Raw genomic sequence first — 12,676 nt, 5'->3', positions numbered from 1 at the left:
TTTTTTATTTTTAGTAGAGACAGGGTTTCACCATGTTGGCCAGGCTGGTCTCAAACTCCTGACTTCAGGTGATCCGCCAGCCTTGGCCTCACAAAGTGCTGGGATTACAGGTGTGAGCCACCACACCTGGCCAGAGCTTTTATTTTCTATTTGTTTGTTTGTTTAAAGTAAAGGAGTATAATAAAACACTAATTTTAGTGTTTAGTGTTGGGACAAGGATTCCTGGTAGGGCATTATTTTAATTGCCTAAGCAATGTGGTGGTGAGAATCAGAATGACAGGGGAAACTGTAAAAATGGAATGGATGTGGCTTATTTAACAGCTATTTAAAACAAGAAAAAAATGGACACAGTTTTTTTCTTAAAATTTCTTCCTGTTGTTCAAAAATTGTATTGTGAAAAAATGTTTTGTGCTAATATATAGAATTATTTTATTATAAATAGTTTCATCTCAATTGCTTTGTACTGCAACTGTTTATGTGAAGATAATACATGTGTTATCATGTGATTACATCCAAGATTTATTCATAAGAATTAAACCAAATGCATTCTGCCAAAAAAATAAATAAAACAAAATATAGATGTGAATATATTTTAGGTAGTTTAGGAAAATGAGTCAACGATTTCATTGGGAGAGTGATGAGCAACTAAACTCAAATATCCTAATGGTTACATGTTTTATAAGAGCTATTGGATGAATTTAAATAAAGGGGGATTATTGCTATACTAATATATGCATCCTCTCCTAAAACTTTATTACAGAAATAAACTTTTATTTCAAAGTCTAAAATATTCAACTGAATATTTTCTTCATTGACTCTTACAACATCCAAGCACTTAAAAAATTGTCAGAAATCTTTTTGCTAAGTCATGATTGTTAGTAAAGTTATCCGAATTTAAGTAAGTCCTCAAATGACAGAGATTGTCCTTTAATCATTTCTCTATCCTCAAAGTGTAGCACAGTCTCAGGTACAATATACATGTTTTAGATAAGTGCCTGTAATTAACAATCAACATATATACTATACAATAAAGATAACACGTTTAATCAAGGAGAAGACATGCATTCTAAATTTAGAATATTCATTTAAAATGACATATTTTCACAGAACAAATAATATGTTTTTTCTTTTGAGTATTTCTAATGTGCTTCCCATTTTTGTTGACCTTGATTTTTCCTAAGATAACTCTCCCTAGTCAATGCACCTATCTAAAATGGATTTAAATTGTATGTCAAAATCTACTTAATCCTTAAATTCCTTTTGGTTCAAAAGATGTAAAGGCAGTTAAATTATGAACAAATTTATTTTTGTATTCCATTTTCTTTTATCCGCTCACTGGGGAAGAAATCAGGAAGTAAAAAGGCACCTGCAAATAAGAATGGTGCAGATGAAGCTTATATGGTATTCATGAAGTCAACAACAATATGAGATGGGTTATGCAAACAATGTTATCTTTTAGTTCAATTTACAAGAAAAGTCTTTAATGTAAATAGGTAAACGACTTGGACTCATCTCTTTTTGTGATAATTGCATTTAACGTTATTGAAGAGTTACATCTAAATATAAATTCTTGGCCGTATCTCTAAAAACTTTGAGAATGATTCTTCTTCCTCTAATTTACTTATATTTAACTAGTTTGTTTTTGTCTGGAATAATGCAGAACTGATACCAGAAGATGAAAATCTATTTATTTTATGTATCACTTAAGAAACACTGGGCTGGGTGCGATGGCTCACACCTGTAATTCTAGCACTTTGGGAGGCCGACCTGGACGGATCACCTGAGGTCAGGAGTTCAAGACTAGATAAACTCGTCTCTACTAAAAATACAAAAACATTAGCCGGGTGTGGTGGCAGGTGCCTGTAATCCCAGGCTACTTGGGAGGCTGAGGCAGGAGAGTCGCTTGAACCTGGGAGGTGGAGGGTTCAGTGAGCCAATATCACACCACTGCACTACAGCCTGGGCAACAAGAGCTAAACTCCATCTGAAAAAATACAAAAAACAAACAAACAAACAAAATACTGGATGATTTAGAAAGATATTTAAGAAACTAGCTCCTTTTCAAATAAGAAAAATGTCTGTCTTATGTTGCGAAGGATTATTGTTTTCTTCTCACTGGAATGTTTCTGTATGATAAACAACATGATCCAATAAAAGTAGCAAAGACATGTTGCAATCTAGCCAGGGTTTAAATCTTGTTTCCACCACTCAATACTTGTTAAATCATCCATAAATTTATTTTAAAGCCTTGTTATGGAAAAGTTCATTATTACTTTGTTGAGTTGTTGATCAATATGTGTGAATCTCTTATTCTATAAATTTTATTTTTTACAATCTTCAGTGATAAGTATTATGCATGCAATACATATGTATAAATATTTTGGTATATTGTGCAAATGTCAATATTTATATGAAAAATGTGATTTTCACAAAAGATCAGCACTTTCTATGTAAAAAATATGCATTTTGATTTTGTTTCATGGGTTGTTGTATGTTTGCACAGCAACATAATTAGCTGAGAAAACTTTAGTGATTGTATTTAATATTTATTTCTGCTTTATATGTTTTAACCTTCATACTCACTTCTTTCTCGTTACCCAATATTAGCTTTCTCTACCAGGGGGATAGCTGATCAGTTTCTACCTAAATGCACATTGGCTGCTGAGAGATCATGAAAGATAAGAAACTAGAGATGGTTATTGAACTGTCATAATTAAGTCCATGGTGATCTTCACATGAATAGATACATAGAATGATAAAAGTAAGTTTAAAATTGTTTAAAAAGTACATTGACAAAAATATTAGATTTTCTGTTAAGAATAATCCATTTTCTTCAACAAGACAATACAAGAGAGGGAAGCAGATTTAGATTAAAAGAGACTGAAGAGACATAAAACATGAAAATGTAAGCATTTATACTGATCTGAATAAACTATGAAATGATACTTTTTTTAGAAAATTGGGGAAAATTTAATTATAAGCATAATATTGGATAATACTAAGTAATTAATTTTATATTGTTAAGTTTGATAAGGGCATTAGGGTGAAACAGGGCTCTGTATTCTTTTGAGTTGCTTATAGAAATATACAAGATGAAGTGATAGGAAGTCAGGGATCTTTAAAATACCTCAAGAAATAGATGAAGCAGTGTGAGGAAATATTTATAATGATTGATTCTAAATAAAGGCTCTACAGATAAATTCTATTTATTTATTTATTTATTTATTTATTTAGAGACAGTTTTGCTCTTGTCACCTAGGCTGGAGTGCACTGGCGCGATCTCAGCTCACTGCAACCTCCGCCTCCCGGGTTCAAGCGATTCTCCGGCCCCAGCCTACCAAGTAGCTGGGATCACAGGCATGCACCACCATGCCCAGCTAATTTTTGTGTTTTTAGCAGAGACTGGATTTCGTCATGCTGGCCAAGCTGGTCTCAAACTCCTGACCTCAGATGATCCTCCTGCCTTGGCCTCCCAAAGTTCTGGGATTACAGATGTGAGCCACTGTGCCCAGCCAAATTTTATTTCTTTATTATATATGTCTATTATAGAGACATATGAATATTATAAAGACATATATATATGTATGTATATACATATACATAAACTCCCAAGCATAGCGCTGACAAGTGTATGATAACCACTAAGACATGAGATTTGTTTGTAGGAATGCTTCCCTTTAGCAATCAACCTCCATGGTACCAAAGGCCTTAAACAAGTCTGCCAAACTATGAGAGGCAACACAGAAGGATGTGAATGGCATGTGAGTCACTATATATATATATATATATGTCTATTATATATATGTCTATTACCATATATCGTCCATATGTATATATAATATATATACATTATATATAATATATACTAATATATATTATATAGACATATACTTAATTTTTTTCTAATAAAATTTGTTTGAAATCATTTTTAATTAATGACCAGCTTTCTGCTGCAAAGTACTAAAAGTACTTCGTAAAATTAAAAAGAGAAAACCAACTTTGTGATTGCTTTAGTGACCTGGCAAGAAAACAAGGAATCATGAGACCAAAAACTAATTTAAAACAAGTAAGCAGAGTGATAAATGACATTTCATTGGAACTAGATTTTTGCCCTGAGGACATTACAAAACAAAGCCTAAAGAAATTGAGCTTTGTTTTTTATGTATTTCTGGGACTGTCTCAGAGTGTGAAATCTTATAGTGGAACTTCTAAGTACAGTTAAGACTTCAGTTAATTATAATTTCAGTGTAAGTATGCATTAAATATAGGGCCACATTCTCTCATCTCTTGCTGGTCCAAGAAAAACTATCTGCCTCAAAATGAAGAGCTAGGTGGAAAGAAAAAAAAAATCACTGAGAATTAATAATGCTAAGCCAACTTTTAATAGTTATTCATTCTGAATTTAGTTAATCTTATTGATTAAGAAAAATTCCAAATGTGCAATTATAATCAAGTGCCTGCTAGGCACCTGACCAAAGCAAATACAAATAACCCTGAATAAATCTGCATGCCTCAAAGAATTTCCGTTGATAAGTTTCAGTGGAAAACGAGCTCACAGTTAAAATCACAAAACACACAAGGAAATAAGACAACATAAATGAGAGATAGTAGAACAACAGAATATCAAATTATAATCAAAAAAGAAACCCATAACTGAGTTTAAGAAACTGGATATGAATGATCTCTTCTATTTATAGGAACAAAAAGAGATAATGAGAACATAAATATGCTGCATTTGGATATTACGGAAAACTTACTCTGGTTACCTCAATGAACTGTACTTCCAGTTGACTTTGTCTAGTCATGTCCCACATTCACTTTGGGCTTGGCAATTTTTCCTGGCTTGTTCAGTGAGGAACTACCAAGCATAGTGCCAGCAAGTGTATGGTGAGCACTAAGACATGAAGTTTGTTTGTAGGAATGCTCCCTTTAGCAATCAACTTCCATGGTACAAAAGACCTTAAACAAGTCTACTGAACTATGAGAGGCAACATAAAAGGAGCCAGTGTCATGTGAGACACCAAGTTGACTGTGTTGGCATCAGCCAGGCATCTAGGGGAATGCCACCATGTAGATGACTTTAGCTATGTCACATGGAACTGAATCCAGTCAACACAAAAAGAATCACAAAAATTAATAAATCAATATTGTTTCAAACCAGCAGTAGGCAAAATTTTTATGTAAATGGCCAAGTTGTAATTATTTTTGACTTTGTGAGTCATAAGATCTCTTTTCCAAACACTCAGTTCTGTTGTAACACAACAGCAGCCACAGTCAGTATGTGAACAAACAAATATTGCTGTTTCAATAAAACATTATTCATGGACACTGAAATTTGAATTCCATATAATTTTCACTTGACACAAGTTATTCTTTTTTTATAACCATTTAAAAATACGAACACCATTCTTGGCGGACCAATGTGGCAAACAGGTGCTGTGCCTAATTTGGCCTGCAGCCTGCAGTTTTTGACCTCTGTTATCGACTACAATTTTTTCATCAGTTTGTTACACATGAGTAAATAACTGAAACAAAAATTGTTACCTGAAGTTGGGTGCTGCTGTAAAGAGCCTTGCTCATTACATCTTAGGTCATTAGTCCTTTATTCTAATGTAATTTCTATTTGGGCCTTCTTTCTATTTCTATCATACAGTCCATGGATCTACAGTATTTCCTAAGATAAAATCCAAATTTGATAAAATGTTATTTTTCAAGTGAAGAGTATTAAAAAAAGGATTCTTTCAAAATACTATTTATAAGTTATATATTCAGGTAGACTATTTTATATAGGAAAACACATGATAAATTTATAAAGCAAGACGTAATCTTACCAGACCAGTAGAAAATTCAAATGTTGAAATTTTTTGGTTGGGTTTAATGAACTTCACCATCTGTCTGTTTTTTAGAGAAAGCTATCTGAATCTATGTATTGCTCATGATGGTTCAATTTTCAGTCTTAGGTAGAAAGTTTCTTGGATTAGTCTTTGACTCAGGTTCAGGCAGATATAATGCTATATCATTGGCAGTGGCCATCAAAATGCAACAACTATACTCTGATCTTAATAGTTAAACAGGTCATTTTTATAGAAATAGCCAAGTATTAGTATGTAACTGAAGAGTATTGAAATGTTTCTGTGTTAGGACTATGCAGTCCTGATTTTGATATCTAATATACAGTTTTTCTTTGCATTGTGAGATATCATTTTACCTTTGAAAAATATCTGGGATTAATTTGCTGAGACAAAATTTTTCTATTATTGTCTCATTCAAATTTTAAACAACATAGCAAAAATTTTTTTGTGTGTGTTTATTTGTTATCTCACTGATAATGGGTTACACTACTATGTTGAAATGAAGTGAGATTCTTGGTGAGAGGTCAGATTTAAAGAAATGTAGCTGCTTTATGTATCTCCTCAGGGAAAAAGTGATTGTGCATTGCAGTAGGCTTGCCTTGACCATTCCCAAGTTTTAGGAAGTGAGGCAAAGAGAAGCCATAGTTCTCAGAATATAATAAAGCAGCTTGCCGATTAAGTAATAAAATTTATGCTTAAAGACCGTTAAACTTGGCCTTATCATCCAATGCCCATCAGTCTCTTTAGGTAGAAATAAATTCCTTTGCTACCTTTAATACCAGATAAAACATCAATGGGGAATTTTATCTTGGTTGATGAGGGAAATTAGCTTCTTGGTAATAACAAGAAAAGACAATAAAATGACTGACAATTACTGTTTGCTTATCCCACATGGGCAGCATCCAGAAAAACGTACAAAAGAGTTATTTATCTTGGCTAAATTATATTTTCTAACCTATAAATCTTTCAGTTGGAGTAAGTATGTTGGATTGGCTCATGTGCTTAGTCGAACTTTACTCCTGGCTCCTAAATGGGAAGAGATTTTCATCCCAGATTCCTCCTCCTAGGGCACAACTTCTCCTCTTATTGGTAGGAAATCTATTTCTTTTTCTTCAGTGCTTTTTATTTCGTATAATGGTCCTCAAACTTTAAAAGACGCATTAGCATCCTCCAAACTCCCGACTTAGTCATTTCTTTTTAGACATTAGTGTGCATTACCAATTTATTCCATCTGTTTTTATATTTTGGTCCAGGAACAAACCAGTGGAAAACAGACAAACTAAAGATTAGAAAACACTTCTTAGTGTCAAGCAACTTTATCACAAATCAAAACTTTTTCATCATCAAGATTGAATTCATCTTCTAAATTTTTCATAAAATAACTTTCATTCACATCATCTATGTTGAATTAAAACATCAGAAGTTAGCCCCTTTCTGTTATCAAATCTTTGGTCAACCCTGGGCCTTAGATGAGGGAAAGGTTGACCTCAAAAGAATTTGCAAGATGATAGTTGGGGTTGCAAGTGATAAAGAGAGACTAAAAGCTTTTGCTCCCATTCAGGGAATGATAACTTTTGTGCAGTTGGCTAATGATGATTGTGATTATGGCATGGGACTTGATTTAGGAATGGAACTCTTTGCTCTGGTTCACACTATATTCACAAGGTTACTGATCACCTTTTATCTTTTATGTATAATCTGTTGAAGAGGAATCTATTTACAGAAATTATTGAAGGACATCTGGCAAACAGAGAACATAGACCAACTTGCTGCATGAGTGAGGCAGTTTTGTTTAGTATACAATATTTCTAAAAATTAGTATGAAACTTGTGATTTTTGTTTTTTTAAGGAATACAAAAAATGAATTTATGAAAACATTTACTAAAAAAATGAGTATGAGTTAGGGATGAAAAATAATTCAGCCACGATTATTAAATTAATGTAATAAGCTATTTTACTGAAAAATTCAAAGCCTTAATTGGCTAATCTGAAATGCAAAATGTATATAAGTGAATTTACATATAAGGTTTCCAAAAATCATTCAATTATTAAACAGTTCTCAACAAAGACTTTATGGAATTACTTCCATAATATGCCTTGTTGTGAAAAAAATTACTTTTTTTAGTTATGTTGATTTCATTTGTGCAATTGTTACTATTAAACAAAATTTAGTCCATTTTATTTTTCTCTTGTTCTAACCTCCTGACATAAATAATAAAGAACAAGTCAGCAAAATCCCCTTTATAGAAATCAACTCCAACATGAACAAAGAATATTAAAATTATTTAAGACATTAAATTATGTATAACTAGTTTTAACCGTATTACATATTCAGCATTTCCAAAGCAAATGGTATGAAATACTCCAATTCACAAAAAGACAAATGTTGCATGTTCTTCCCTATGTCTGAGCTAAATATTTGATTACATGGAAGTAGAGAGTGAAAGGTAGTTAACAGAAACTGGGAAGAGGGAGTAGGTGAGGGGAAGAGGAGGATGAAAAGAATTGGGTTGGCACATGCCTGTAATCCCAGCACTTTGGGAGGCCAAGGAGGGCAGATCACAAGGTCAGGAGATCGAGACCATCCTGGCCAACATGGTGAAACCCCATCTCTACTAAAAATACAAAAATTAGCTGGGTGTGGTGGTGTGGGCCTGTAGTCCCGCTACTCAGGAGGCTGGGGCAGGAGAATCACTTGAATCCAGGAGGCAGAGACTGCAGTGAGCCAAGATCATGCCATTGCACTCCAGCCTGGGTGACAGAGCAAGATTCTGTCTTGAAAAAAAAAAAAAAGTGGGTTAAAGGGTGCAAACATACAATAAAGTAAAAGAAATAAACTCATTGTGTGATAGGATAACTACACTTAAAAATGTAATTATTAATATTTGAGTGATGGAAACCCTAAATACCCTGAATTAATCACTATGCATTATATATGCACAATAACATTTCTCATGTACCCCATAAATCTATACAAATAAAAAATGAAAATAAATAAAAAAATAAAATAGCTTCACTCATAGCAAACATTTAAATGATATTAGTTATCACTGATTCTTCATAGTCCACTCGCATTCCATTGCACTTTATAATAACAAGAAAACATTGTTTACATTCTTCAAGGCAAAGATTTCATTCTCCATGTGCTTCTGAATGCAGTAGTCAATCTTCATTTGAGGCTTTTCTTTTTCAAATGCAGTTTCAGTTTCCTGTGGTCAACTGTAGTCTAAAAATATTAAATAAAAAACTCTAGAAATATACAATTTATAAACTTTAAATCGTATACCATTCTGAGTTTCACAATAAAATCTCATACCATCTTTCTGTGTCCCAAAGGCCATGAATCATCCCTTTGTCCAGCATACCCATGCCATATACACTACCTCCCTGTTACACACTTAAAAGTCATCACAGTTCTCAGGTCAAAAAACGATTATATACAGGGTTGGAACTAGCCTCCATTCCAGGCATCTGGTGGAGGTATTGAAATGTATCCATCATGGATAAGGGGGGACTACTATATCAGAATGTAAGTTAGATGTATTGGCATTTTAAATTTCTGTAGTCACATTTTTCTACATATTCCATCCAAACAAGTTTTATTGTTTGTTTTTAAAAGGTTATTTTTATGCTAACATATTTTATAACACCTATGATGGGAAATACATGGAAAGGTAGAGTAGGTCTGGTGGTACTTCCTCCCTCCTTTTGTTGTTCTTTTGATAGATTTAGGGGAAACAAGTGCAGTAGTGTCACATGGATATAGTGTTTAGTGGTGAAGTCTCTGCCTTTAGTGTACCCATCACCTGAATAGTGTACATTGTATTCCGTAGGTAGTATTTGATCTCTCCCCCTGCCCCACCTTCTGGAGTCCCCATTGTCTATTATTTCATTCTGTATGCCCATGTGTATCCAATTGTTTAGCTCCCACTTTAAGTGAGAACATACGGTATTTGACTGTTTCTGAGTTATTTCTCTTAGGATAATGGGCTCCAGCTGCATCCATGTTGTTGCAAAGAACATTATTTCATTCTTTTTTGACTGCATAGCATTCCATGGTAGAGATATATATCAAAGTTTTTAAATCCATTCATCAGTTGTTGGACACTTAGGTTGATTCCATGATTTTGCTATTGTGAATAGCGCTGTGATAAACATAACGAGCGTATCTTTTGGATGTAATGATTTCTTCTCCTTTTTATATATACCCAGTACAGGATAGCTGGTTTGAATGATAGTTCCATTTTTAGTTTTTTGAGAAATCTCCATGCTGTTTTCCTTAGAGGATGTACTAATTTACATTCTCACCCACAATGAATAAGTGTTCCCCTTTCTCCACATACTCACCAACATCTGTTGTTTTTTGAGTTTTTAATAATAGCCATTCTGACAGGGGTGAGGTGGTATCTCATTGTGGTTTCAGTTTTCATTTCTTTGATGATAAGTGATGTTGCGTATTTTTTCATATGCTTTTTGGCTGCTTGTATATCTTCTTGGAAAATAGATATGTGTCAATGGAACAGAATAGAGAACCCAGAAGTAAAGCCACATACCTACAACCAACGGATCTTTGACAAAATCAACAAAAGTATTCACTGGTGAAAGGACACCCTATTCAATAAATGATTTCAGGCAAATTGGATCACCATACACAGAAGAATGAAACTGAACCCTTATCTCTTACCATATACAAAAATTAACCCTAGATGGATCAAATACTTAAATGTAAGATCTGAAGCTATAAAAATCCTAGAAGGAAACCTAGGAAAATATCTTTTGTATATTGGCCTAACCAAAGAATTTATGATTAAGTCCTCCAAAGGAAACACAACAAAAACAAAAATAAACAAATAGGACTTATTTAAATTACAAAGCTTTTACACAACAAAAGAAATACTCAACACAGTAAACAGACAACCTACAGAACAGGAGAAAATATTTGCAAATACATCCAACAAAGGGCTAATATCCAGAATCTACAAAGAACTAAAAAGCTCCGCAAGGAAAAAACAAACAAAGAAATAACCCTATTTTAAAGTGGGCAAAGAACGTGTACAGACATTTTTCAATAGCAATACTATAAAAGCAACAAATATAGGCTTCAACAAAAAAATTAAAAAATACGTGTATTTCAGTTTAACACAAATTTGCTTTGAGAGGATAAAATAGAAAGCAAGTATCTGGTTCTTTTCATAACTTTTATTATGCAAACATAACATTTTTCAGAAACAGAAAAATACTAGTTTACATTAAAGTTGTCATTTAAAATATTTAGAAACTCACATGAACATCTGAGGCCATAGACATGGTTGGACAACCTTAAATAGCATTCAAATTATATTAAATATAAAAAGAAAGTAAGTAAAATTTTTTTCTTATGGTAATCAACTCATCCATTTGCAAGGTCTGTTTATAGATGACAGCCTTTGAAAAGAAACCTGAAGAAAATGAAGTTGCTAATCAGGTTGATATTGGATGAGAAATATTGTAAGTAGTGGGAACAAAAAATGCAGTGTCTTCAAGTTTGCAGAAGAGCAAGAAAAACATGATGACTGGGTGGAAAAAGCAAGAACTTGTTATAGGGAGTAAAATAGTCTGAAGTCAGGGCATTAATGAGGCCATATTGTAGCAGGACTTGAAGAGCACAGTTAGGACTTTGGTGCGAGAAAGAAGGGAAGTGTTTGTTAGCAAAAGCGTATGATGTTTTGCTGAATTTTAACAAGATCATTCTGGCAGAAGAAATTAGGGGAAATAAAAGCTGGACAGGGTGACCATTCTTGGGAGGTTGCTGCAATAATCATAAAGAATGGCACAGAGACTGAGGGAGGCAGACAGAGGTAGTTAGAAGTTATCAATTACAGATATATTTTTCCAGATACAGCCAACACCATTTTCAAATGGATTAAATGTTGTTAAAATTTTTTATTCTGTTTTGTCTCCAAAAGCAATTGGAAAAAATGAAATGTAAAATAAGTGAGATATTGTTTGGGAAGACTGTCGAGCTCATGAATAAGAAGAAAAAGAGAATAAATTTTCACATCCATCCCACAGGTGACTAATAAAAGTAAATATTGGCTTATATTTAGATATGGTGTTACTAAAGTGTTGGCAGAATATTAAAATTGAAAAGGCAGGAACATTCTCAAATCATGTAAAAGTAGAATAATTTGCATCTGAAGACAAAGAATTTACAGTCATCTATATTAACTAACTGATTAATAAACAAATACTTTGAGCATCCATTAAATACCAAGGACCTTTCTGGATAGGAGATATAGTCATTAACCATAGAGAGAAAGCCAACTCTCTCCAAGGTTAAGAGTACTGGCAATAGTTGTTGTCATTTATGGTAAATGTAACGGCCTGTTACTGGAAATGGAATGAGAGGATTAAATGGTGGTAGTAGTTTCTATCCTTGTGTATTTCAGGGTCTTAGCAACTGGGTAGGTTGTGTGTTAATTCTGTGCACATATGTCATGTGTATTTAACATATCATATGACACAGAAACAATCTGTTTATGGACTGGTTTCCTCCTACCACCAATTCCAGTTTGGAAGCTCCAACCCCCAAAGTATTCGGAGACAGGGCCTTTAAGGAGCTACTTATTATAAAATAAGGTCATCATGGTAGAGCCTTAATCCAATAAAACTGGTGTCCCTATAAGAAGAGGAAAATATAGCAGGGATGTGTCTCTCTTGATGCATGTATAAAGGAAAGGCCATGTGAGGACACACTGTGAAGACATTCACCTGTAAGACAGGAAGAGAAGCCTTTCTAGAAACCAACCCTGCTTCTACCTTGGTCTTGGACTTCCAGCCTTCAC

General features: G+C 33.5%; 1 protein-coding gene across 9 annotated transcripts in view; it reads left to right on the top strand.

Moving 5' to 3' along the window:
- The window catches only part of CDH18 (cadherin 18), a 1,104,418-nt gene that overhangs the window by 409,423 nt on the left and 682,319 nt on the right, over positions 1-12,676 (top strand). The window lies entirely within an intron of this gene.

Source organism: Homo sapiens, chromosome 5 (assembly GCF_000001405.40).
Source record: "Homo sapiens chromosome 5, GRCh38.p14 Primary Assembly".
NCBI classification, from domain to species: Eukaryota; Metazoa; Chordata; class Mammalia; order Primates; family Hominidae; genus Homo; species Homo sapiens.
This window is presented reverse-complemented; position numbering and strand designations above follow the sequence as displayed.